The sequence below is a fragment of the Homo sapiens genome, chromosome 7 (genome assembly GCF_000001405.40).
Source record: "Homo sapiens chromosome 7, GRCh38.p14 Primary Assembly".
Lineage (NCBI taxonomy): Eukaryota > Metazoa > Chordata > Mammalia > Primates > Hominidae > Homo > Homo sapiens.
Window position 1 is genome coordinate 151,710,411 of NC_000007.14, and position 27,117 is coordinate 151,737,527.

The following is a 27,117-nucleotide window of genomic DNA, read 5'->3' on the forward strand; positions in this document are numbered from 1 at the left end:
GCTCCGCTGCCACACTGAGGCCACATGAACCTTCGTGGGAAGAGAAGACCCCGTCACTCCTCTGCTCGAAGCTCTGCGGTGACCCCATCACACTTAGAGGAAGACTCAAGGGGCAGCCCCTTCAGGGCCCGTGCATGTGCTGTTCTCCCCTCCCCGGGAGCCCTGCCCTCTCCCTGCTCTTGCATCTCTCCCAGGGCGCAGCCACCCAAAGTGAGGCCTCCCTAAGCATACCATCTAAGAGGGCACCGCTCACACACCCCCATTTGCCACATGCTCATTCAGCTTCATTTTTCTCTCTTCACTTGTCACTATCCGCCCAGATACACACATGGAGATGTCATGACATCTAACACACTCTGCTTGCCCCTACAAGCAAATAGGCTCCACGAAGCCAGGGACTTTGTTCTCTGTACCTCTGTGTCAGCAGAGTCTAGAATATTGCTTGGCACAGAGCACTCATAGTGGTAGGCAGAGAGTGTCAGCAGTGCTGGGTCCAGAGTACTAAGAGTGCTAGGCTTACAAAGTACTAACAGTGCTAGGCATATGGTACCAGCAGTACTAGCCCTAGAGTATTGCGAGTGCTAGGAATACAGTACTAACATGCTAGGGTTAGAGTACTAAGAGTGCTAGGCTTAGAGTACTGAGAGTGCTAGACTTAGAGTACTAACAGTGCTAGGCCTAGAGTATCAACAGTACTAGGCTGAGAGTGCTGAGTGCTAGGCTGAGAGTACTAAACAGTGCTAAGCTGAGAGTACTGAGGGTGCTAGGCTTAGAGAACTGAGGGTGCTAGGCTTAGAGGATCAACAGTGCTAGGCTTAAAGTGCTAAGAGTACTAGGCTGAGAGTATGAAGAGTGCTAGGCTGAGAGTACTGAGTGCTAGGCTGAGAGTACTGAGTGCTAGGTTTAGAGTACTGAGGGTGCTAGGCTTAGAGTACTGAGGATGCTAGGCTGAGAGTACTAATAGTGCTAGGCTAGAGTACTGAGGGTGCTAAGCTTAGAGTACTAAGAGTACTAGGCTTAGAGTACTAAGAGTGCTAAGCTTAGAGCACTAACAGTGCTAGGCTTAGTAGTAACAGTAATAGGCATCACAGTACCAGTGATGACTAAGCACTTTAGTGTATGCACTTCAGAAAATAGTCAAAGAGTTAATATTCAAATAGGTTAATATATTTCAACACTTTAAATCTATTGCTTCCTTTAATCTCCATCCACCAAGGAGGACAGCAATATTATCCCCATTTTATGGATGGTGAAACTGAGGCACAGGAAAGTTAAGCAACCTGTAGATATTTATCAAATGTGTTGAAGGAACGAGGAAGAGAACAGGCTCTCCATCACAGAAGTGTTTAAACTACTTGTTAGGGTTACTCTCGGATATGCAGGTTCCTGAGAGCCGCTAGCCTGTCTCAACTCAGATGCAAGTTCTACAATTTAGAAATCTTTGGACCCCAGGACTCTTCCTAGCCACAGCCTGGTGCTAACTCTAGACATGGGGACACAGGTCCAGTGTTGGTGGCCTGCCACCGACTGGGTTTGGCACCATCACCCAGAAGCCGCCCTCCTCTGGGTTTCCCAGGCGCCCCAGGTGGCTGGGCTGTGTCTCGGGTGATGGAGGAGGTGTACAGATCCCATGTCAGGGTGTGACTGCCCGGAGGCAGTGGCGGCAGAATGTCAGGTGCCACCAGGGACTCCAGGCCTTCCTCCGCGGCGCGTACGTGCATCACGTGGTGTAACATGACTGGGCGGCTCAGTGTGGCCCCCACCCTCACGTGCCCTCCTGGCACCCAGCCTCCGCCCGACCCTCTGAGAGCTCTGAGGAGTGTGAACAATGGGACGGGCTCAGGCTCACTCACCCGGGAAGGACGCTCTGCTGGCTCAGCAGGAAGGGGCCTGGCACCCAAAGCCTGGACATCCTGTGTGGCCTGGAGGGAGAATCAGATGGGGTGGCCACCGCAGGAGACTGGGTCCCTCTCCTCCACTCCCTGGCAGTGACTCTACACTCAGGACCCACGAGACTGCTAATGGTAACCACAGGGACAGCCCTGCAGGGGCCTTGCTCTGGCCCACTGTGAAAGGGAAAGTCCCCTTCCTCCACTGATGTAACAAAACAAATCTGCTCTTGTTGGCCCTGATGAGCTGACACCCGGCCAGAGCCAAGCCCAGGGATGGGAGGTGCCCACTGGCCTGACCTCGGACACCAGCTCCTGGGCTGCAGGTCCAGGAGGCACCCAGGCACAATCAGGCTCCTGTTGCCAAAAAAGGGAGTGCATGCAGAGTAAGCAAAATGAGTGTGCCCCATAACCACATTCAGTCACCCGGGGCCACGCTGTGCTGAGGGAGGGTGTGGAACACACCACAATCCTCTCCAGCCTCCATCTCTGTCTTTCCTGGGAGAGGTTCTGAGGCCTCGTGGAGATTTACACAAAGCCTGATGCTTCAGAGGGGAAAATGCTCTGGCCATGCAAATTCATTCCGTTTTCCATCACTCATTTTGGGTGCAGGATATTTTCAGCACTTTCCCAGCATGCAAAGCAAAGACAGGATTGTCATGGAGAGCCCTGTGTGCTTGGAACGTGCCAAGAGCAGAGGGGCGTGAGCTGGTTTGGGGCATTCTCTCTGCTTCCCTACAAATGCCCAGTGGATGGCCCTTCCTCGGAGCTGAAGCAGTTCCCATTTCTCCTGTATGGCACTGTCAAATCGAGGCAGAGGGACGGGAAATGGTGAACAGAGAAGGAAGACTCAAGGGCAAAACTCCCGGAAGGACAGGGGGTCATGGAAGAAGGAATTCTGAGCCTGACATCTTAGAAAATGGATATGCAGTTTGCAGATCTACATCCCTCACACTGTCTTCTGGGAATGGCGAGAATTGTGGACTTTGTTTCCTTTTGCTCTGATATCTTTCCCCCCACCCAAAGCAGACCCTTTTGTTTAATTCTGATGCTGTAGGACGCACCCCGGCTTGCAAGCCAGGCTGTGAATCAGCGGTTTTTGAAAAGGATATGGTACCACAGCTCACACATGTATGTAATGCAGTATTTTCTTTTTTTACTTTTTTAGTATGGAAAAATTTAAACACATATGTAAAAGTAGACAGAACAGAATAATGAACTCCATTTTTTCTAGCATGCCATTTCAACAACTATTAACTCATGAGGATGGTGTTTTTGCTTTTTTAATTTTTTTTTTTTTTTTGAGACAAAGTCTCGCTCTGTTGCCCAGGCCGGAGTGCAGTGGTGCGAACACAGCTCACTACAACCTCAGGAGGCTCAAGTGACCCTCCTGCCTCAGCTTCCTGAGTAGCTGGGATTACAGGTGCAGGCCACCACACCCAGTTAATTTTTAAATGTTTCATAGAGAAGGGGTCTATGTTGCCCAGGCTGGCCTTGAACTTCTGGCCTGAAGTGATCTTCCTACCTCGGCCTCCCAAAGTGCCAGGATTACAGGCATGAGCCACTGCACCTGACCCCCAGTGTTTAAATGTAGCTACCATGACGTATGCATCAAAATCACCTACAAGTCTTATGAAAAATGCAAATTTCCTGGATCTCACCCCAGATCAAATATATCACAATTTGGGGGTTCAAGTCCAAGAACCGGCACATACCCCCAAAGGATTCTCACAGACAGTCAAGTGTGGGGGGTCACTGGTAGCGGTTAGATAACTCGGGCTGGGGTCCCAGCCCTGCCACTTACTAGCTAGGTAGCTGAACAGGTGATCTCCATTGGAGTACGGGCTTTACGGGGTTGTCATGGGGAATAAACAAGATCTCACAAGAAGAGCACCTAGCACAGAGTCAGCGCTCATTAAACATCCTATGCAGTTACTCACCGGCCTAACTTACGTTTGACTTCTAAGCCTTGAGGAAAATGTGTGCCAAGGTATGGGGGAGGCGGCAGGGCTTCCGAGAGAGCCGTCCTCCCATCCCAGCCCTGCCATCCTCCCACACGCACGCTGCCGTCCTCCCATCCGCGCCCCGCCGTGCCTAGGTGGAGAGGCGGCAGGGCTTCCCGGAGAGCCGTCCTCCCATCCGCGACCCGCCGTCCTCCCATCCACATGCCGCCATCCTCCCATCCACGCACCACGTCCTCCCATCCACACCCTGCCACCTCTCCCTGGTGGCCTTGCCCTTCGTGTATCTGTTCAGGGCCATTGGTGAACAGAGAAAAAAACTACTCTAGTAAAAAGCAAGTTTCCTTTCATTATAAAGAAAAGTGAAATAAATTGTTAAACATCTACTTCTAAATTAAGAATAAGTGGGCCGGGCGCAGTAGCTCATGTCTGTAATCCCAGCACTTTGGGAGGCTCGGGCAAGTGGATCACCTGAGGTTGGGAGGTTGAGACCAGCCTGGACAACATGGCGAAACCTCATCTCTACTAAAAATACAAAAATCAGCCAGGTGTGATGGCACACACCTGTAATCCCAGCTACTCGGGAGGCTGAGGCAGGAGAATCGCTTGAACCCAGGAGGTGGAGGTTGCAGTGAGCCAAGATCGTGCCACTGCACTCCAGCCTGGGCAACAGAGCGAGACTCCATCTCAAAAAAATAATAAATAAGAAAAAATAAATAAGAATATGTGATGTTAAATTCTACCCAATTAAAAGCAATTTTTTTTTTTTTTTGAGATGGAGTTTCGCTCTTGTTGCCCAGGCTGGAGTGCACTGGTGTGATCCCGACTCACTGCAACCTCCGCCTCCTAGGTTCAAGTGATTCTCCTGCCTCAGCCTCCAAAGTAGCTGGGATTACAGGTGCGTGCCACCATGCCCAACTAACTTTTGTATTTTTAGTAGAGACGGGGTTTCGCCGTGTTGGCCAGGCTGGTCTCGAACTCCTAACCTCAGGTGAGCCACCCACTTCAGCCTCCCAAAGTGCTGGGATTACCGGCATGAGCCACTGCACCTGGCCTAAAAGCAAAAAAAAAAAAAAAAAAAAAAAAAATTATTATTATTTTTTTTGAGACAGAGTTCCTGTCTGTTGCCCAGGCTGGAGTGCAGTGGCACAATCTCAGCTCACTGCAACCTCCACTTCCAATTCTCCTGTCTCAGCAATTCTCCTGTCTCAGCCTCCCAAGTTGCTGGGACTACAGGCACACACTACCATGCCCAGCTAATTTTTTTGTATTTTTAGTAGAGACGGGGTTTCACCATATTGGTCAGGCTGGTCTCGAACTCCTGACCTTGGGTAATCCACCTGCCTCGGCCTCCCAAAGTGCTGCGATTACAAGCGTGAGCCACCGTGCCTGGCCAAAAGCAAATTTTTTAAAAATTCCAATTTGAGTTGTGATCTAGAAAGGGAGGATGGAGTGGAAGAAGAGAAAGATAGGGGGAAGGCTGAAGAATTAAAGATCATGCCAGGGAGGCAGCGAACAGGAAAGCCAAGACCACAGAAAACAGGTGCTCAAGGCGAAAGGCAAAGGCAGGAGAGAGGGCGGGGCGGGGCAAGGAGCCTTGGTGCGGGACTCCACTCTCCTCGCTCACAGGGCGGCGGTCCCATCTCACGGCATCTTAGGCTTCCAGGAAGGATTTTCGAGAGGCACTTTTATATATTTATAGATGAAATGATATGTCTTGGATTTGCTTCAAAATAATCCAAGGGGCAGGGGAGGTGGGTGTGTGCAGGGATGGAGCTCGATTGCCCTTGAGTTTGTAGTCTGGGGTTGAGCAGAGGACACACAGGGCTTCAGTACGCTCTTTTCTCTTTGATAAGTGCTGGAGATTTGCCTAATACAAGTTTAAGAAGTTTAAACATTTACAACTATACACAAATCAGGAAGTTCACAGGCTGATGTCAGCCCCATGGGTCAGATGTGGTGCTGAACCTGAGGTGCCCTTGGCCTTTAAGAAAACCGGAGATTAGAGGAGGCCGAGTGTGAAAGTGTTGATTATGACATGTCAGGCAAATGTTTGCCAAGTGAATGGATAGAGACCTCCATCGGGTGAAAATGCTTTGTGTTCAAGCCCCCTTTGTGACCCTGGGCACCTGTTAGAGAAGCAGGGGCTGGGCAGGGGTCCGTATGTGGACTCCCAACAGAGCAAGCCCACCTTGTCCAGGCAGGGCTTGGATCCACAAGTCCTGGCCTCACCACTCCAGGCTCAAAGGGCAGCCAGCCAGCTACATACTTGTTCCCATGCTTGACACGCACAGAACCCCGCCCAGCCTTGCACTTAACAGGTGCATAATAATCCCTTAGGAAGGAGGGTATGGGACACTGTTGCCCCATTCTGTAGAGGTGGAAACTGAGGCTTAGACATAATCAACCTAAGAATGGGACTTCATATAAACTCATTCTGCAAAGAACGGGGACCAGTGAAATTAGCAGTCAGTGTTTTGAATTCCTGAAAGGAAACAGCGTCTGAAACACAGAGCCCTGCAGAAAGCACGTAGGCCTGAGCCACGCAGCTGCTCCAGCCCCCAAGCCCGCGTGGAGCAGAGATGGGTACACACCCCGCACCTTCAGCTTCCAGAGCGTTTTAGGGAAATGAGTGTTGGCAGGAAGGGGAGCAGTGGCGACTTGCCCCACAAAAATTCGAGGCAACAAAAGAGGGAAAGAGGTGGGCCGGGTGTGGTGGCTCACGCCTGTAATCCCAGCACTTTGGGAGGCCAAGGTGGGTGGATCACTTGAGGTCAGGAGTTCGAGACCAGCCTGGCCAACATGGCAAAACCCTGTCTCTACTAAAAGTATAAAAATTAGTCGAGTTGGGTGACGCATGCCTGTAATCCCAGCTACTCGGAAGGTTGAGGCAGGAGAATTGCTTAAGCCCGGGAGGTGGAGGTTGCAGTGAGCTGAGATCGTGACATTGCATTCCAGCCTGGGCAACAGACCGAGACCCCATGTCAAAAAGAAAAAAAAAAAAAAAGAAGGAAAGAGGTTGCCTTCATAAAGCTGTAAAATCGCATAAAAAGAGGGTGCAATCAGTCATTGACGAGAGTTACCCAAGAGACTGTAATTACATGGTTAAAGAATTTGGAAACACCTAGAACTCCACTCAAGGTGACTGGGGTCATTTGCAGGGAGGCAAGAATAATATTTGACTTGAATTTCATATGCAGGAACTTTCTGGAGAAACGCCAGGTGAAGAGAATGGCAGAAGGGTGGTGTCCCAAGGAAAGGGCAGAAAACAGGTGGCTCCAGATGCCTTTTAAGAGAAGGGCTGCCCCGGCCCCAGACTCACCGGCTGGTACAGTGACCACTCAGCAGCTCTGGACTGGCTCCCGTGTGGCCCTGCCAACAGGATGGGGAGGGCCTGGCATGTGTGAGTAGCCATGCCCACCCACGTATTTGCCTACTATGCCTGCCAACTGGGATGAAAAAGCTTTGGATCTGGCTAAGTTTCTGTGAACCAGGTAATAAATCTGTTCTTGGTGTGCTGAAAATAGTGGGGTTTTTCAGCCTATAAAGTTGATGAGCCACCCTGAGCCTTGGGGACCCACCAGGAAAGCATCTCCTCATGAGAAAGGAGCTGGCCTTGACCTTGCTGGGGACCTGCCTCAAATTCACTATCCCTGCATGGGTAGGTGCTTGTCATTCTTTCTGCCCACGCAGCATCTTTTTACACCTCCTCTATGCCTGACCTTGGGAGTGGGGGGAAGGGGCTCTGATGTGAGGGTCGTCCTGGGCCAGACTCAGCTTCTGCTACATGGAAGCAGATGCCAGGCAGGAGGTCCTGCCTTCCAGAGCAGACACTATCTTAGTCATCTTGGGCTGGCAGAACAGAGCACATAGATGGGGTGGCTTACGTAACAGAAGTTGATTTTCTTACGGTTCTGGGGGCTGGAAAGCCCAAGGTCACGGTGCCAGCCCTGTTGGTTTCTGGTGAGGACCCTCTTCCTGGCTTGCAGACAGCCGCCTTCCCATGGTGGTGGGTGGAGGGGGGGGTAGAGCTCTTCCTCTTCTTGTAAGGCCACAGTCCTATCAGCTTACAGCCCCACCCTTATGACTTTATTTACCCTTAATTACCTCCTCAAAGCCCTATCTCCAAATAAGCCACATCGAGGGTCAGGGCTTCAACGTATGAATTCGGGGGACACGATCTGGTCCACAGCACGGCACGAGTCCTCCAGCTGCATGCAGGTCATGGTGGCTGTGCCCAGTGCCACGTGGGCCTCCGTGTCCCCGCTCTGTAAGTCATGGTGGGCTCCTCTCGGAAACCCACCAAAGTCCCCAGTAAAAGTGCTGAGTAGCTCATGAAGTCCCCAGGATGCAAAAAAAAAAAAAAAAACCCAAAAACAAAACAAACAAAAAAACCCAGGTTTTTTTTGCATCCTGGGGACTCTGTGAGCTATTCACTGCTTTTAATACATTTTTGGGATCCACTACAACCAGCCAGAATGAATCTCTGGGCCCGTAGCTGACTGGAGGGACCCCTTCCATGGAGTCCAAAGATGACGGCTCAATGGGATTCTCTCATTCTTGTCCACCAAACCAGAAGGCAGGTCTGCCCACCTCCCCTGGCCCTTCTGTTCAAGAACTGGCTTCATCTCTCTTCAGCATCGGCCTCTGAGACCTAAAGGGCTGCCTGTTTCCCTGTGTTCCTGAGGGTGCCAGCCTGCATCTTGCCAAGTAGTTTCTTAGACTCAGATGATTCCTGTTCTCTCTGTGCTCAGACTTTCCAACCCACCCACAAACATTCATTAAGCCCCTGATAAGTACAAGGCCCCGAACTCAGGGAAATGGAGGGGACTGAAGGAGACGTGTGCCACCCTGTTCCCCGAGCGTTGCTCCGGGAGACGAGATGTATCTTGCAACCAGCTCAGCGGTGGAAGCAGTGGAAGTGCAGACAGAAAGCCCCATGGCAGAAGGGAGAGAGGTCCTGCCCCACTCCCGGTCTCTGCAACATGCTTCCCGGCCCCGGCACGCTCAGCCCTGGTCCAACTTATCATACAAGTTCTTGGGCAAGTGGGACTTTATGAAGGAGGTAGTCACAGAGACCCACCGCTCAGGCCTCCTGCTGGGGGAGCTGGGCTATAACTTCCGCTTCCCCCTTCACACAGAGACCATGCTCCCAACCCACCCCAAACCCGCCAGCACCCTCAGCCCCTGCCCTGGGCTGCTCCCAGCCAATGCCTAAGCGCCGGGTGCTGGGTCACCCTGAGACTCTCGCTGTCCAATCTTCCCTGCCACCGTGGCCGCAGGGGTCAGAAAGAAGATGCCCCCTGTCTTCTGCCTCCTACCCTCATCCTTCCCGGGCAGTTCCCCCAGTGAGTCTGGTGTGTGTTGAGTCCTGTCCTGGCACCTGCCTCTCAAGGGACCTGCATTCCTGCCTGGGTCCCGCCCACAGCACCACTGTCTTGCGATGGGCACTGTCACTCCCACCTGGCTTCCCAGAGCCTATGTGGGCCTGGCACCCTGATCTGTTCTCAACAAGAAACTGGAGCCTGCCCCTCCTCCCCCTGAGTTTGCCAGGCAGCCTGTAAGTTGGGGCTCCAAGTAACGCCTTCCCTGGCCCCTGTGCCTACTGAGGTAGTTCTGTTATTTCACTGAGGCCGCCACATTCAATCTGCACCTTCCCATGGAACTCTCCCAATTGGCTGTGCTTGCTCTGCCCAGGTCCAGACCAGGGGCAGCTCTGGCCCAGTCCTGGGCTCCTCCAGGTCTGTGAGCACCCCCAGGGGATGTGCTTAGGTCAGGGTGAGGCCTGGCCACTAGCACTGGCCCAGGGGCGAGCCCTTCCAAGATGGTCCAATCAGAATCAGGGAAGGGCCCTCATTCCACAGTAGGGGGAAATGCCCTTTCTTCTTTCTCTCCCTCCAGATCATAAACCTACAAACTCCTCCAGTGGCTGCAGACAGCCGTTTGTGACCACAAGGAAAGGTAGTGGAAGCCCAGATGGACACAGAGAGAAAGAACACAGACTTGCTGGTCTGGGACAAGCATTGTTGTTCAAGCCAGTTCGCGTTTGAGTTTCTGTTACTTCCAGCCCCAAAAGCACCCTAGATAGGAGAGTCTACCTAATACAGCAAGACCATGGCCCTTTCCAGAAAGGGTGGAGGCTGCTAGCTCAGGAGGTCGGTCTATAGGCAATTAAATCTCTGTGGGTGTAACACAGACTGTGTTCTTACTGCTATTTGTGGAAAACAATTTTCTTAAAATAGATAGAACAGACCTTGACACCCTGAAGTCAAGCACTGACAGCCTCTGTTTTGAAAACAAAGCACCGTCAAGCTCTAGAAAATGCATGCAGGGCTCCAGAGCCCGTCCAGATGAGCAGAAATGGCAGAGGGGGACAGAGGGGGATGAAGGAGGAGAGAATGGAGGGGATGGAGGGGGATGGAGGGGATGGATGGGGACAGAGGGGGATAAAGGAGGACAGAGAGAATGGAGGGGATGGAGGGGGATGAAGGGGGCAGAGGGATGGAAAGGGATGGAGGGGGACAGGGGATTGAGGGGAGAGAGGGCAATGGAGGGTTTGGAGGGGATAGAGGGGACAGAAGGGCATGGAGGAGAATGGAACGGGAGGGAGAGGGTCAGAGGGGATGGTTGGGGACAGAGGGTAGTGGTGGGGGGAATGGAGGGGGATGGAGAGGGATGGAGCGGGGTAATAAGGGCAGAAGGAACAGAAGGAGATGGAGCAGGCAGAGGGGATGGAGGGAATGGAGGAGAATGAAGAACAGAGGGGGGTGAAAAAGGACAGACCAGGGTGGAGGGGCATGAAGGGGGCAGAGGGGATGGAGGGGACACAGAGGGCAGAGGGGGACAGAAGGATAGAGGATGTCAGAGGGCTGGATGGGGCAGCCTGGCCACCTACCCAGGCATGGGAGCCAGAACCCTGCAGCCGCCCAGCACTCAGGCTTTTCTGGGGTCCCATCCCTGCAGCCACCCATCCTGCATCCTGAAGCGGGGGTCCTGTCCCCTCTCTGCATCTCGAAAATGCCCCTTCCTGCTTCCTCTGCCATCTCCTCGGTCACTCTGGAGCTGCCTTCTGCCTACAACTGGAGCTCTAATGCCAACAGGAAAGGGCTGAAGACAGGGCCAGGGCCAGGGCCGGGGCCAGGGCCGGGGCCGAGGCCAGCACAGCGCTATGGGGCCCAGCTGGGGTGCCTGAGGGCCTGGCTCCCCAGAGCACGTCCTCCCTCCAAGGCCTCTCATGCAGAACCGAGGGTGACCAGCCACCTCCCACAGGAGGCGTGCCACCCCTCTGCCCCATGGTCACCTAATGTCCCCCTCCAGGCCTGCCCGTGACAGTGGGGGACATATGCTAGGACCCCCTGGGGCAGTCAAGGACATTCTACCCTGTTGGCCAGGGAGCAGCAGGGTAGGCCCCTCTAAAATCTGAGTAGAGATTTAGTTTGTCTGGAGAAGACAGATGTTTTGGCCTCGGATATTCACAGTGTCAGGCCAACGTCCCATCAAGCATGTACCAGCCAATTATGTTTGCTTTCATAGACGTTATCTGGCCTTACCATTCCTCTCTGACCCAGGTCCCTTAGTTCCCATGGTGACTCTGTACAAACACTACACATACTCCTTGTCCTAGATTCTTTCCCCTTATCTGCCTATCCCAACCCTGCTACTCCCTCGAGGCCCAGTTCAAGGCCACCTCCTCCATGCAGCCCACCCTGACTACTCCTTCCCACACAATCACCTTGCAGAATTCCTCAAGCGTGGCTGTGGCATTCTGTCTTGTGGGTGAGCTGGCTATTGTTTCCTGCATGTGAATATGATGGATGTTGTAGAATCCTCCTGGCATAGCTCCTAGTGCCCACAGCACAGTGAGCCTGTAACCCGTATTTCTCATTAGTTGGCTCTCTCATTTACCCCCAGAGACATTCTTTACAATGCAGGTGTAGACTCAGATGTGACCAAGACTTTGCTATCTTATAAAAGGGGTTCAGCCCATTGCAGTCTGGTTTTCCTAGCACCCTTCCTCCTGACGAGCTATGTTCAGGGGAGCGTTAGTTCGTTACCTGCTTGACATGGCACTGCCTGCCAACCTCACCTTAGGAAAAGGGTAAATAAGTTTACAAACATTAGGATGGGTGAAAGCAGCCATCTTTCAGCCAAGGATGTCTTGCCATTGGCATCCTTTCCTCTCCTACTCTTGGCATCAAAACTTCCAGCGAAAGGACTACCATCACTTACCCCAGCTCCCTCCCCAGGGGTCTCCTCGTGGAGCTCATCTCTCACTGAGGAAAGAAGGGCTCGGCTTTGATAAAGGAATGCTAGACTTTAGCAGGTGAGTGGCGGGGGTAGGATCCTGTCTATTCTCCAGAAATGCCATGAGACTCCCGTGGGGACACACGGACATGCAGCCCCATGCTCTGCGAGGTTCGTGTGCAAGGGAAGCCGAGAGTGTGCACCGCCGCCTCCCCACCATCAGCCAACAGCTCAACACCGATTCCCAGTCCCGGCTGTCACAGGCACTTCTTATTATGGATGTGCTACTAACACACAGCAAAACTGATTAGATAGGCACAGGCCCGGCAGGTCCCCATTAAAGGACATTCTTCCCTGCCCCAGAGGCCTTTTAATCCTCCAGCTGCTCCCCATTTCTGAGCACCCCAGCCCCACAACCACATCCTTGGCTCCTCTTTTCTTAGGTCTCTGCCTCCCAAAAAGTGGAAAACGGAAGGCTGCAGACAGGAAAGACATCCCCTGCAGCCTGCCCACTCCTCCCCTCCACCGCAGGAGAACTGGAGAAATTCTATGCTAGTCACCATCTCTTTCTGTGTCCACAGCCCCGGCTCTGAGAGGTGGACCACAGTGACGTTGTGCATCTCCTGGGCTGAATGTCAGTTTAGAATCAGTGTTCTGTCACCTCCAATACCCTTTCCCTAATGCCCAGTTGCCCTGGTAAAAGCCATAAGTCCCTTTGGGGAAGAACGGGAGAGAGGTTAATAGTATACATTTTTGGTAGTGCAGTGGAGTCCTTCTTCAAGGGGACCCAGCCTCCCCCTCCACTCAAAGAGTTCTGGGTCTGGAAACTGGCTCAAGCCTAAGAATTGATTGAAGGACCATGACGCATTCGAGCTAGACTTTTGTTCACTTGGCCTACACTTCTACTTATACAGATCGAGTTAGAATGTAGTAGGCTTCCCATCCATTTCACTTCTAAGAACATGGTGGCGAACTGGCCCACGCCCTAGGTCACGCGGCCCACCCCAAGGAGTTGAGTCTGACGGTCCTGATGGCTGCTTGGCCTCTGCTTTCGCCGATGGGCCGCACCTGCCTTGCCTTTGGTGATTGTTTCCACTTGGCCCCTGCCATGCTGGGACCCAGATACTCCCACTTCATTTAGGATCCCTGGTCAGTGGCAGTAGGTCCCCCTGTGATTTCCAACCTACAGGGAGCTCTTCAAGGGCGCTGGGCTCCCTCACCACAGTCTTGGTGAAAGGTGTGTGAGTGGCAGGTGAGTTGGTCTCAACTGGCAAATCCTCTCCAGTCTCCCTGAGCCATGATGCCTCCCTCTGCAGCAGACGCAGGCGTTTCTGGTGTTTCAACTCCGTTCAGCATGGGCCACCTTTGGGTCCATGTTTCAGCCAACCCGCCCGTGAAGCCTGAAGCAGCTCCATCTTGGGAGCAAATCCTCCACCTCGGCTTCTGATCAACCCCGGTTCCAGCTGATCTACTGTTCTGTGTAAGAGCAAGTACTTGTCATAAATCCTGCCCTTACGGCAAATCAACCTTGATAAACTCCACGGTAAATCCTGCCCTTAGGCATATTCCTACACCTTCCCTCTGGAGCACCATACCTTTGCCCTATGTATAGAAGCCCTGGGTCCGGGGGGTGCTGGTGGGGACCTACCTGTCTTGTGGTTGCCCAAGACTACACTTCTGCCCGTAAGTTCCCCCAATAAAATCACCCTATAACAACACACTGGATTTGTCTGTCTTGTTCTTTGGTTTCTGGGCTCTTTCTGCATTTGGGGGTCGCTTTGCATACAGGGCCCTTTCACAGACACAGCCAGACAGACTGCAGGGCTCTTCCAGCTCCCAGCCCCTTTGTCATCCTCTCAGCAAGCCCAGGGATGGGCATCTCCACAGAGTCTGTCGGCCCTGCTGTCCCTCAGAGGTTGCACCTGCTCCCGTCCTCCCCTCCTGAGGAAGGGGGTGACTGGTGACTTCCCAAGGCAGGGAGGTTCCCACAGGCCATGCTGCTCAGAGCCCGAGGATGGGAACTTCTGCGCGGGCCCTTGGAGGGTAGAGCTGGTGCTGGCTCACTTGTCTCCAGGTCCCGTCGTCGCCCTCCCAGGCGCTCCCTCCCGGCACTTCCCGGGCTTTGGGCACCCTTGCTTCCCTCTTTTCAAAGGACCCTGTGCTCTCGGACCCTGCGCAGGATTCCAGAGCTTGCACACTCCCTAGCCGGAGCAGCCGCTTGCCCGCCCCACAAGTGCGGCTCTCCGCGCCACGCTCCCTCCTGCTAGGGCTCCAAGTGCCGACTTGCAGAGGCCTCGGGAGTGACAGTGGAACAGAGGGTGGCACCGGCACCAGAAAGCACCCCCCGAGCCTAGATTTCTACCTTCAGAAACTCCGACAGTGGGGACCCGGGGCGTGGCGGGGCTGCTCAGTGCGTCCCAGCTCCTCCTCGGTGCCCAAGGAGGCTGCCACTGTGGCCGTGAGTCCAGGAGAGGCCTCCCAACCCTGGCCTGTGGATGCATCGACCCCTTTCACCGCGCCTGACGTGAGTACTCCTGCCCCTTCACGGGCCAACAGGAGCGAGGTCGGCCCTGCCTCAAAGGGCCTGTGATCCCCCTACCGTGTGATGATACAAAGAGCAGGCGAGAAGCAACCCACGTGTCCATCGACGCATGAACAAAATGGGGTCCACATGCACAGCAGAATATTACTCAGCCTTAAAAAAGAGGGGGATCCTGCCACCCGCCACCCACACACACGAAGGACATCTGTGTGGACATGATGCTTGAGGGAAACAGGCCAGTCACAAACAAATACTGTCTGATTCCGCTGACGAGAGGTCCCTGGAGTCATCAATGCATAGAGACAGGAAGTAGAAGGGTGGCCTCCAGGGGCTGGGGAGGAGCATGGGGAGTCAGGGTTGATGGGCCAGAGTTTAAGTGCTTCAGGATGAAAAGGGTTCCGGAGATGGATGGCTGGCTGCACAGCCACGTGCGTGTACTTAATGCTACTGAGCTGTACACCTAAAGATGGGTACATTGGTAAATTTTATGTTATGCATATTTACCGCAGTGAAGAAAAAAAAAAAAAGAGCCAGGCTGGGTGTGGTGGCACTTTACCATTCCACAGAAGAGCTAATATCAAGAAACCAAATAAAACCTAGGCAAAAATACAATTATTTATAATTTGTATTCAATTATATACAGACAGTTCATACCAGACAGGAGAAGACAGATAAGACTTGAAGTGTGGGGAAGACCTCAGCACCCGGGGCCCCCAGGGCTGCACAGGGGCTGGTCTGCACCCTGCCTGTGCCCTTTCTGCCACTGGTGGGAGAAGAAAGAGGCCGAGAGGAGCTATGTCACTGCACCTCGAAATCCCGGTGGCTGAGCAGGTTGGGCCCTCCCCCACTTTGATTTTCTTTGATTTTTCTATCCTAGGGATGAAGGTGATCTATTTTTAGTGTAGAGGCTGGTATAAGGAGTTGCTATAGCGACAGCTGGTGGTTACAAACCAGGTCCTGCTACAGTTCCCAGTCATGAATAAATCCCAAGGCTGAGCCCGAGGAAGCAGGCAGCCTCAGAGATGGTGCTCCCTCTCCACAGGGGTCCCACCTGCTATCTTCATGGTGTGTCCTTCACAGGCAGCATCTAAGTCCTGCTAGTGGGGAAGCAGCTCAGGACATGGGGCGCTGGGGACTGCCCATCAGAGGAACCGAGGGCTTCAGCAGAAATGCATGCTGAGCCTCAACTACCAGGTGAGGCAAAGCACCTGCGTGTGCGCAGAGCCGGATGGTGGCAGAAGAGAGCTGGCATGCAGGGCGCCAGGTTAGGAAGCCTGGGGAAGTGAAGACACAGCACCTGCTTACAGAATCACCAGGGAGGCAGGACACACACACACACACACACACACACACACGCACACACACACAGAGCTGATGCCACATTATTTACTATGGCTGCGTGCGTACCCTACTACCAGTAATCTTAGTACGAGTCCAACAGAAAGGCACACCAACGCACAAGAGTGCCCATGAGAGCACTCTGTCACAGCCCCGACTGGAAACCACGGTGTCCATTAACAACTGGACGGACGCAGGAGTCGTTGTCTGGGCAGACAGCGGAGGGTTCTGCAGCAATGAAATGGAGTTGATGAACTTCAACGCCGCACGCAGGCACGGCTGCATCTCACAAAGTGCAAGTGAAAGAAGCCAGACCAAAAAAAAATCGTGTAAATTCAAAACCAGACGATGCCAATCTTGAGGGGAAGTAGCTGGGAGAGAGTATGGGGAGCTTCTGGGGTGCTGGCTACACAAGGGTGTTCAGTTTGTGCAAATTCGTCATCTATGATCTGTGCTCTTCTCCATATGCTTACACTTTAGCAAACTTTGCCTTAAACATTTTTAGAAGTTAGCACAGCATTGTTAGTCAAGTATCAAAAAGGTGATACTGGCTGGGCGCGGTGGCTCACACCTGTAATCCCAGCGCTTTGGGAGGCCAAGGCGGGCGGATCACCTGAGGTCAGGAATTCAAGACCAGTCTGACCAACATAGTGAAACCCCGCCTCTACTAAAAATACAAAATTAGCTGGGCATGGTGGTATGCGCCTGTAATCCCACCTACTCAGGAAGCTGAGGTAGGAGAATCTCTTGAACCCAGCAGGCGGAGGTTACAGTGAGCCAAGATTGCGTCATTGCACTCCAGCCTGGGCAACGAGAGCAAAACTCAGTCTCAAAAAAAAAAACAAAAAACAAAACAAAACCGATACTCAATGGTATTTGGTGTTGGTGGGCTTTGAGGCAGACCTGCCTGTGGGGGACTGGGACCTCCAGGAGGAGGCAGGGCCCTACGCCCCTCCAGGCTGTAATGAGTGCAGGGGCAGAGGCATCCAGCCATCGAGGTGGGGAGGACCCCAGGTGAGCCACCAGCAGCCACGGGAGCCCCGTGGGGAGGAAGGCAGGCTGGGGCAGCAGGAGACCAGAGCTGGGGTGCCCCTGGGCAGGGACTCTGGAAGGGCTAGGAAACTGAGGCTGATCACCCTGCAGGCTGGCGCACGGGTGCCTGCCTGGAGACGCAGGGGTTTGCTCCTTTTTTCTGTGCTGCCAACTGGACATCCCTCCTCAGGGTCACTGGCCACAGCTGCTCAGAGGTCACTCCAGACTGCAGCCACTCCCTTTCCATCAGCCTTAGCTGTTCTGTGATCAAAACAGGGCTGGCCAGGCCCAGGAGCGAGAAGGAGGGAGGGAGGGAGGGAGGAGGGGCCTTCAGGCCCTGTATCCCCTGGGAGGCGCAGGGCAGCCGGGTCAGCGTTCAGGTGCTGTTCATTGATGAACTCACTAGCATTAGCTGATGTGTCATCTCTTCCAGCCAAAAGTGGGGCCCAGCCAAGCATCTTAGTGATGTGAGTCATCAAAACTTCCTCCTGGGTCTGCTTTGAGCCCCACCTTCCTCCTCCTGCAGTCATGCTCTTAGCCTCAGGGCCCTGGGGCGGACGCCCGGACACTCCCCCAGCAGCCTGCTTTCCAGAGGCCACTGCGCTGCTCAGCTCCGGGGGCCCGTCCTCCGTGGATCCCTCCAGGCCCAGCAGAGTGTTTGACCACGGGCCTGACCGGGAGGGGAGACGCCACCTCCTGGGGACTTGCACCCCAACCAGCACCACTGTCATGAGACACCCGGAGGCCAGCAGTCCCCAGGGCCCCAAGAACACACAGCAGCACCAGAGACTGCCTTGGCCCTCAGGGAACGTTCATGTTGATTTACGCTGAGAGCACCTGGACTTTGCCTATTTTTTTCTTCTCAATCGCTAAAAGACAAATTATTACCGCAGGGCAGAATTCATCTTGCTCTCTGAATGTACCAAGTGCTCACTCTCATCTGGAAATTGGAACCCCGGGTGACCATCCTTGGGTGCCAAGGCTCCCTGGACCCACGCACAAGCCCTGAGTGAGGTCCTGTCTCACAGGATGGGGGTGACAGAGCAGCAGGGGCTGGCCAGCACCCAGCCAGGCTGCGGCCCCAACCCCAGGTCACCAAGCTGTGGTGGCTTCTCTGTCACCGTCCAGAGTCACTATTTTAAAAATACACCCCCTTTTGAATCTCCTTTCTCCCTGCTTCATTATTTACCCCTTCAGGCTCTGAAATCTTTCCCTTTCGTCTTCGGACACTTTCAGACGCTGCAGTCCTGGAATTGTTTGTCCAGTGTTCAGCTTCTCTGCTGGGAACCCGGGCTCTCCAGAGGGCGGCTGCTCCCAGAGCCACGCCACTGTCACGACAGCTCACCTCTCACAGCCCTGATGAGCGCCCCTGGGAGAGCACGCACCTCGCTGACACCCCACCAGCGCCCAGCCCCGTCCACAGGCGATGCTCACCTGTTCCTGGGGATTTAGTCTTCCTGACTTAGAGCAGCAGCTCTGGGTGACTGGGATGGGGTCAGAAAAGGGAAAGGGGCACTTGACCGTGACATCCAAGGACACGCACCAGAGCTGCTTTGCTACCCTGCCACCCTGTGAGGTGACAGCCGCCTGGCCTGCTGAGTGACTCCGGGAGTCCTCGGGGAGCAGCACCTCTGGGAGAGCTGGGCCACTTGTCCAGGGTTCCACCAGGCAGCGCTTGGTGACAGTGACGTAGGGAGAACAGGCAGATGGGTTATGAGCTTTTCCAGGCATGGATGAGAGTGGGGCGGACAGGGGGTGGCGGGCGGGCCTCACCAAATCCACGGCTGGGAGTGGAGAGTTCTCAAATTGTGTGAACACTGTCCCATCATCCCAAATGCTTCTACTCACTGGCTACAGTGTCCGAAACCCCCCAAAGACCCATCCTCACAAACAAGGATGCCGCACCCCTAGGAGTCTTCTGTTTGGACACATCCAGCAGAACAATGGGCACCAGGGCTGGACGGTTTTGGGTGGGAACTGGCAAAAGGAGAGGTGGGTGGGGGCCGGGGAGGGCCTTGGAGCCAGAGGGGTTGGGGGAGGGACAGCCTCAGCCCCAGCTGTCTGGCACATAATAGGCTCTTAATAGTGGGCTCAGCCCCAGCTCTGTCCGCACTCCACTTGGGCAGGCCAGTCCTTAGCCCATCGGTGCTCAAGACCCCCGAGGGCCTTCATCTCAAGCAGGTGTGATCCAGAGCCCTCCCACGGTCCACAAGAGGGGCATACACTGGCTGCTGTGCCCAGCCTCAGCCTCATCTCCTACCTGCCAGAGACCGGCTCCTGTGGCTCTGCCTGCTGCCGTCCAGCCCCGCAGGCCTCTCGGAGTCCCTAGAACACACCGCAGGCTCCCTTCTGGGGCCTGGCCTCTCCAGCTCTCGGAAGGGTCTGAGCACAGGCATCCACACAGCCCTCTCCCCATCACCCACTGAACCGACCCCTCGCCCTGCCTCCACGGCATCACCACCACCTGACCTGGTGATGAAAATACGTTTGCCATCGAAACAAGGCAGACGCAAAAGGACAAACACTACGTGATTCTATTTCTAGGAGGTCCCTGGAGTTATCACATTCGTAGAAAGTAGAATGGTGTTTGCCAGGGGCTGGGGTCAGGGGAGTGGGGAGTTAGGGCTTAGAAGAGACAGTTTCAGCTGTGAGTGATGGAGGACATGGCAGGTGGTAATGCCTACACAATAATGGGAATGCATACGTGAAATGGTGAAGATGGTAAATTTGTATTATGTACATCTGACCACAATTAAAATCCCCTCATTCATCTACCCACTCTCACCAGGCCGTGTGGCCCCGAGGGTGCATGCATCTCTCACTCACTGCTGTCCCTAGTGTGGGAACAGAGGCCAGCACAAAGACCCTGAGGATGCAGGTGAGAATGACAGAACCTGTCATTGTTAACCCTGGAAGACAGATGCTGTTATACTGTTCTCCCTACTTCTGTATTCTTTCGAAAATTTCTGGCCAGGTGTGGTGGCTCACATCTGTCATCCTAGCACTTTGGGAAGCCAACGTGGAGGATCGCTTGAGCCCAGGAGTTCGAGACCACCCTGGGCAACATAGGGAAACCCCGTCTCTTTTTAAAAACAAATTTAAAAAGTAAAATAAAAAGAAAATTTCTATTGGAAAAAGGCAAACATATATATTGGGAAATTTCAGGGCAAAACCAATAGTGATACCAGCAGCCAGGCCAGCAGATGGGCGCCAGAGGCAGTGTGAGGACTATGAGGGGTGAGGAGGAGCAGGGGGGCTGGATGGGGGCGGGAGAGACCACAGGCTTGACTTCTCAGCCCTATCCCTCTGCTGAAGTGAAGAGCACAAGATGGTCCCCACAGGGCCATACTCAGCCAAGGGCAGGAGAGCCATGGCACGCAGTATTGGGGTGACCTGAATGTTCATGGGCCAGGAAGGATGCTGGCGTTCTGGGCAAGAAGCCGTTGCGTAGTCATGCGGTGTGGGCTCATGGAAGGGGAGGTGGGTATAAGGGCCAAGCGTCCTCAGAGGATGTGGTCTCCGGTCTTACTGGGACCCTGGGCACACAAGGATGAAACACCAGCTTCCTGACACACCGCTTGGACTCCTGGCTCCAGTGCTGGCCTCAGAAATGAGCCCTTAAGACGCTAAATGGTTTTTATTTAATTACTGCCCTGTAATTGCAGAGGGTGAAAGCGCTACTACAGTCATTGCTCTTTGATCTGATTAGCATAATCCTTTCCTAATCTTCCCTCTACATTTTTATTATTGTTGCCACATACCCTTTGTCGACATAATCTGGATTTCTCTTTGCCAAAGAGGCCGAAAGAAAGGCTTAGCCAAGCTCGTCACTTGTCTAGCGCCTGGAGCCTGAAAGCTGGAGAGGTGGGGAGCTTCCCTTCTGTGCCAGACATGGCCTCCCTGCCTGGCTCTGCAGCCAGAGAGGGGTAAGGGCTGAGCACTCCTGAGTCAGAGCTTCCAGGGGGCTCTGTCACAAGGCCAGCGGGTGAACATTTCCAGCGACAGCCACAGGCTTTCCAGTGGAAATGCCATCCACCGCAATTACGAATGGACCTGGTGATTCCGGGGGCTGCAGGGCCTTGATTTGATGGCTGTGGGGAGAGCTCTGTGTGTGTGTGTGCGCACAGGTACATGACATGTGTGTGCGAGTGTGTATCTCTTGACCCGGGGAACTGCAGGGAAGCCCCCAGATAAACAGTGTGCACCTTGTCCCTGGGGAAGCAGCTCCATGCTGAGTTAAGGCAGAGGAGCCCGTGGTTCCTGGAAAAGACTGACACAGCCACAGAGGAAACCCAGTGGATGGGAGGGACCTGTGCCAACAGCCTAGGTGGGCTTCCTGTGGAGAGGAGGGAGGAGAAGTCAATGACAGGGATTTCATGACCCTCACAGAAGCTTTCTCAGGGAGAAGAGGCCTCATCTAAGATTTTTGTTTGTCTTTTGAGACAGTGTCTCACTCTGTCTCCCAGGCTGGAGTGCAGTGGTATAATCTTGGCTCACTTCAACCTCTGCCTTGTGGGCTCAAGTGATCCTCCCACCTTAGCCTCCCCAGTAGCTGGGACTACAGGTGCACACAACCACACCCAACTAACTATTTTTTGTAGAGAAGGAGTTTTGCCATGTTGCCCAAGTTGGTCTCAAACTCCTGGGCTCAAGCACTCCTCTACCTGCCTCAACCTACCAAAGTGTTGGATCACAGGCATGAGCCACAGCACCTGGCTTTTTTTTTTTTTTTTTTTTTTGAGACAGGGTCTAGTTCTGTCACCCAGGCGGGAGTGCAGTGGCATGATCACGGCTCATTGCAGCCTTGACCTCCCCAGGCTTAAGCAATCCTCCCAACTCAGCCTTCCAATTAGCTGGGACTACCGACATGCACCACCACGCCTGGCTAATTGTTGTATTTTTCATAGAGATGGGGTTTTACCACATTGTCCAGGCTGGTCCCAAACTCCTGGACTCAAACGAGCCACGTACCTCCGCCTCCCAAAGTGCTGGGATGACAGGCATGAGCCACCGAACCCAGCCCTGAGATTCTATCTCCGGGAATAACTGTATGAAGGAGAGGGCGTTGCTGAGAGGGAATTTAAAACACAAAACCCTGAAGCAATCCTTCTTGGAGAACAGGGAGCAACCCTGGGCTGGAACGTTTTCCAGCTATCGCAGAGCCAGCGGTTTTTATGGAGAACCTGCGATGCTGCAAGACCTAGGGTTAGAGCTACAGACCGTGCTCCTGAGATATCGCCCCTGTTCACAAGCAGCCAGATCACAGAAAAGGCACCCAGAGTGGTTTTTCTTTGAGACGGAGTCTCACTGTTGTCACCCAGGCTAGAGTGCAATGGCATAATCTTGGCTCACTGCAACCTCCTCCTCCCGGGTTTCAGCAATTCTCCTGTCTCAGCCTCCCGAGCAGCTGGGATTACAGGCACCTGCTAACACCCCCGGCCAATTTTTGCATTTTTAGTAGAGACAAGGTTTCATCATGTTGACCAGGCTGGTCTCAAACTCCTGACCTCAGGTGATCCACCTGCCTCAGCCTCCTGAAGTGCTGGGATTACAGGTGTGAGCCACCGTGCCAGGCCCTCAGGGTGGTTTTCTAGACAGTGATCGTTCAGCTGGGTCTTGAGAAATGGGTAAGGTTTAGACAGGCACAGGCTTGGGAGGGAGGGCTTGGTCAACACTCTTGGACTGTTTTTCCTCACTCAGTGTATCCACGCCCAACACTGTCTGTGGGGCACAGGGCTCCCGCCTCCCACCCAGCCTAGCTCTTGGCTCTTCTCACTGACACACTAACCAAAGTCAGACATACTATCAACCCAGGTCCCTGGGCTCCAGCCCACTAAGAGGAGCCTTAGCCTGAGCAGGGGCTATGGCCTCTTGCTGTTTCCCAAATTCCAGAGGAAGGCTCTGGAGGGACCTCCGATTTTCTTGACCCTGTGGTCAGAGCTTGCATCTGCATCCAGGCTCTTACAAAACTTGGTTGAGATGTAAACATTGTTTTTGATGTCAGAAGCGTAGGAGACAGGATGACAGCCAACCGTTAAACACAAGGCGGGAAGCCACTGTCTGGCACATAATAGGCTCTTAATAATGGGCCTGTCCATCCCCATTAGCAAAACCAGATTTTTAGTTAATAATAGGTTCTGGTTTAATTCTACAGTAGATAAGTGTTTATTACTTTATTACTTAAATAAAAGTCATCTTTTTAGACCGTGTTAGTGAGTCTCCCGTCTAGGATTCCATCCCTCCTCTCCCTGCTCAGGGCTGGGTGTCCTATTCCCGTGCACAGTCACCATTTTTTTTTTTTTGAGGGTCTTGCGCTGACTCCCAGCCTGGAGTACAGTGATGTGATCAGAGATCACTGCAGCCTCCCCTCCCAGGCTCAAGCGATCTTCCCACTTCAGCTTTCTGAGTAGCTGGGACCATGGGTGTGCACCACCATGCCTGGCTAATTTTTTATTTTTTTGTAGAGAGGGGTCTCATGATGTTGCCCAGGCTGGTCTCGAACTCCTAGGCTCAAGCAGTCCTCCCACCTCAACCTCCCAAAGTGCTGGGAATGCAGGCTTGAGCCACCGCACCTGGCCTACATTCACCTACAAGTGATCCCCCAACCTTAGCCTCCTGAGTAGCTGGAACTCTACTCGATTAGACGCCGCTCTCTAGTTCTCTTTATGGGGCTTTCTTCTTCACAAGATTGAACACTCTCTGGGTTCAAGGACTGCTGTCTCCTTCACCTGCTCTCCCCCGAGGACTCAGCACAATCTGAGCCTGCAGACGCTTCCAGGAGAGCTGCCCAAAGCGGATATAGCAAGAAATACAGGCAGATTTTAGATTTACCTTTTTCTTTTTCTGCTCTTCCAGTTTTCATTTACAGTTCAGACATTTTGCCAAAGTCACCTCCCTGTTACACATAATGACAATATTTTTCCACTTAACACATCACATTCCGGTCAGGGGACATGGCTTCATACACCCCCCAGGCTCCTCATTTTACTCATCCCCTAGGCTGTGTCTCCCCAGCCCTGGTGAAACTCAGCTGATAAATAACAGCACTGGGGTAGGGGTCCTGCTGTTCCATCTTGCAGTGGGCTCTTCAGGAATAACCTATGCCATGCAAGCAGTAACGCTGGCAATGCGCTGACTCTGATTTGTTTTTTTAGATAGGGTCTAGCTTTGTCACCCAGGCTGGAGTGTAGTGGCCCAATCACAACTAACTGTAGCCTCGACCTCCTGGGCTCAAGGGAGCCTCCCATCTCAGCCTCCTGAGTAGCTGGGACTACAGGCATGTGCCACCATGCTCGGCTAACTTTTAAATTTTTTTGTAGAGAGAAGGTCTCATTATGTTGCCCAGGCTTGTCTCAAACTCCTGGGTTCAAGTGATCCTTCCTCCTTGGCCTCCCAAAGTCCTGGGATTATAGGCCCAGCCTAAATCTGATTCTTTTTTTTTTTTTTTTTTTTTTTTGAGGCAGAGTCTTGCTCTGTCGCCCAGGCTGAAGTGCAGTGGTGTGACCTGGGCTCACTGCAACCTCTGCCTCCTGGGTTCAAGCGATTCTCCTGTCTTAGCCTCCCGAGTAGCTGGGACTATATGCGCACGCCACCACGCCCAGCTAATTTTTTGTATTTTTAGTAGAGACAGGGTTTCACCATGTTGGCCAGGCTGGTCTCGAACTCCTGACCTCAGGTGATCCGCCTGTTTTGGTCTCCCAAAGTGCTGGGATTACAGGCATGAGCCACCGCGCCCGGCCTCTGATTCTTAATAAATGAAATCTGACATCTAATTTTGAGTGGGCAGGTCTTAACCAGGTGTGGAGCTAAGAAAGCTTTGGAATCGACCTGTGTGGCTGCAGACAGACAAGGGCAAAACCCACTCCAAGTCTGCAGGTCCTTGAAAATACTGAACCACAGATGCTTCACCACCTGTTCCACTTGCCCTGACCCCATCCTCCTGTACATGGAGGAGCTGCAGAAGTTGCCAGAGACCAGGGAGACCACAATGCAAGCTTCTCCTCATGGGGCACAAATTAGGCAGGTGTTTCCCCTCCCACATTAGCCCACGATCTGTCAGATTACTCCGCTACGGAACCTGGGAAGAAGACCTCTCTCTTCCTGACCTCCAATAGTTTCCTCTAAACTGCATGTTTCATTTTTAACAGCTGAAAACAACAGTGCCCATCCACTCTTACTTTTCCCCTGAGCCACAGTTTTTGCATAAATGAATGACAATCCAATCCATCACTAGCCTCCCTGGGCCAGGTGGGGCAAGAAAGGAAACAGCTTCAGAAAGAGTATTGTCAGGCGGCTCCCCACAGCAGCACTGCCATCAGCAAGGAAACACTTCCCACGTATTCCTCTAACCACCGCCTGATGTTATATCCCAGTTGGAAGAGAGTGGCTGGAAACAGCTACTGCTTAGGAGGGTGTGCACACACGCCGTGGGGTTCCCTCCCAAGGACAGACCACCAGGGGCTCGGGAATGGGCAGAGTCCTACCGAAAAGGCCATGAGGCTCCGACTGGCGCCTCTCCGTGCTTCGATTTTGGTCCTTGTGTTTCTTGTTGCTCCTGAGGCTCCCAAAGCGCTTCATGGGTAGCTGTGGCCACAGGAGTGGCGACAGGTGAACATATCAGGACCCACAGAACCGGTGTCAGCCCCAGGTGGCCGGGAGCCAGAGGAGCATCAGCCCGACAGGCACAGGGCGCCCCAAAAGCTCAGAGTGGCAGCCTGTGCTCAGGTGACAGCCCGGGTTCAAGCGTCCTCACCAGGGGGTCTTCAGGGCGACCTCACCGCAGCCCCAGAGTCTGTGAGGCGCCAGGGAGTGGAGCCGTCCTGACGGGGCTGCACCTCCGGCCACAGCAGCTGGAGCGTCAGCCCGGCTGTCCTTAAGTAGCAAGAAGCTGCCGGAAGCGCAAACAGAACTTCGCAGGGGATTTGTTGATGTAGTTAAGGTCAGCTGCTCACTGATACTCTCCAGGGCTTTTTTTTTTTTTTTTTTTCTCCTTAAAATTAAAAAAAGGAGGGAAGACCAGATAGGCAAAGGAGGCACAAGCCTGCAAGTCATGTGCAGCCGTGCATGATGTCTCTTTAAACAGACTGTAAAAGGAAACCACCCTGGGCAGACAATTCTTGGCACCAATTGGCCAGAGCACATTCCCATTGTGACATGACATCACACAACTATTTTGATTCATGGGTTCCAGGGCCCCACGGGGTCAGAAGGCTCCGGCTGCTGCCGGGTGGAGAAGCCACACAAGTCCCTGGGCTGGAAATTGCTGAATCTACCCTGGCTCACGGTTCCACTCAATGAAAGCAGCAATGCCGTCTTCAAGGAGGGGATACAGCTCCCCGACTGGAATTTAACGGAAGGTCTTCGGCAAATGCGTAATTTGAGCTCTGGACTTGCTGAGAATTGCAGCATGACAGAGCTGGAAGAGATTTTAGAGAGATCTAGTCCAACTCCCTTCTATGACAGATGGGGAAACAGGCTCAGGACAGGGAGGTGACTTCCCCAAGATCCTGTCGCCAATGGTAGAACCAGGACTGGAGTTCTAATCTCCTTGACTCCTAAGCCAAACCGCTGATCAAGTAAAACCTAAAACATTTATAATTTGTATATGTTTTGCAACCAATAAAACAAACTTTGGAAGCAAAAGATAGAAAAAAAATCCTTGACTTTTTGTCTGATAGCCTCACTAAAGTTACCTGCTTTGCTACTAACCAGCTTTGTGACCATCAGAAAGTTACTTCCCATTTCTGAACCTCAGTTTCCCCCTTAGTGAACTAAGACAAGACCAGGTCATTTTAGGATTTAGTCTAGGGCCAGGCACGGTGGCTCACGCCTGTAATCTCAGCACTTTGGGAGGCTGAGGTGGGAGGATGGCTTGAGCCTAGGAGTTCAAGACCAGCCAGGGCAACACAGTGAGACCCCCATCTCTATTAAAAAAAAAAAAAGAGAGATTTAGCCTAGTTCCAACAGTCTGAACCTCTCATGGTAACTGATTCTTCCCAAATGACTATGCACATGAGGAGGAGACTATGTCAGACCAGTTAAATAACCCCCGAGCTAAAGATTAGTAGCCTGGGTTCTTCTGGCCGCCCACTAGGGTGGGATAACCTCCCAA

General features: G+C 53.2%; 1 protein-coding gene across 23 annotated transcripts in view, besides 5 other annotated features; it reads right to left on the reverse strand.

Moving 5' to 3' along the window:
- Positions 1–27,117, reverse strand: part of PRKAG2 (protein kinase AMP-activated non-catalytic subunit gamma 2) — a 320,989-nt gene that overhangs the window by 154,284 nt on the left and 139,588 nt on the right. For 6 of the 23 annotated variants that reach the window (NM_001407037.1, NM_001407038.1, NM_001304527.2 and 3 more), the window contains exon 1: positions 25,490–25,853. The exons of the other annotated variants lie outside the window; for them this stretch is intronic. In NM_001407037.1, coding sequence (NP_001393966.1) covers positions 25,490–25,583 — 94 coding nt within the window. In that variant the 5' untranslated portion in view covers positions 25,584–25,853. Of the gene's footprint in view, positions 1–25,489; positions 25,854–27,117 lie in introns of those variants that run through there. 23 annotated transcript variants of the gene reach the window in all.
- Positions 10,459–10,980: an enhancer, noted in NCBI's record as "H3K4me1 hESC enhancer chr7:151417955-151418476 (GRCh37/hg19 assembly coordinates)". NCBI's record gives its function as "activates a minimal SCP1, AML or CMV promoter by ChIP-STARR-seq in naive H9 embryonic stem cells {active_cell/tissue: H9 hESC(naive)}" and the evidence as "EXISTENCE:reporter gene assay evidence [ECO:0000049][PMID:30033119]".
- Positions 14,481–14,981: an enhancer, noted in NCBI's record as "H3K4me1 hESC enhancer chr7:151421977-151422477 (GRCh37/hg19 assembly coordinates)". NCBI's record gives its function as "activates a minimal SCP1, AML or CMV promoter by ChIP-STARR-seq in naive H9 embryonic stem cells {active_cell/tissue: H9 hESC(naive)}" and the evidence as "EXISTENCE:reporter gene assay evidence [ECO:0000049][PMID:30033119]".
- Positions 16,215–17,078: an enhancer, noted in NCBI's record as "H3K27ac-H3K4me1 hESC enhancer chr7:151423711-151424574 (GRCh37/hg19 assembly coordinates)". NCBI's record gives its function as "activates a minimal SCP1, AML or CMV promoter by ChIP-STARR-seq in naive H9 embryonic stem cells {active_cell/tissue: H9 hESC(naive)}" and the evidence as "EXISTENCE:reporter gene assay evidence [ECO:0000049][PMID:30033119]".
- Positions 17,550–17,609: an enhancer, noted in NCBI's record as "active region_26869". NCBI's record gives its function as "activates an Ori minimal core promoter by ATAC-STARR-seq in GM12878 lymphoblastoid cells {active_cell/tissue: GM12878}" and the evidence as "EXISTENCE:reporter gene assay evidence [ECO:0000049][PMID:35858748]".
- Positions 24,975–25,632: an enhancer, noted in NCBI's record as "NANOG-H3K4me1 hESC enhancer chr7:151432471-151433128 (GRCh37/hg19 assembly coordinates)". NCBI's record gives its function as "activates a minimal SCP1, AML or CMV promoter by ChIP-STARR-seq in primed H9 embryonic stem cells {active_cell/tissue: H9 hESC(primed)}" and the evidence as "EXISTENCE:reporter gene assay evidence [ECO:0000049][PMID:30033119]".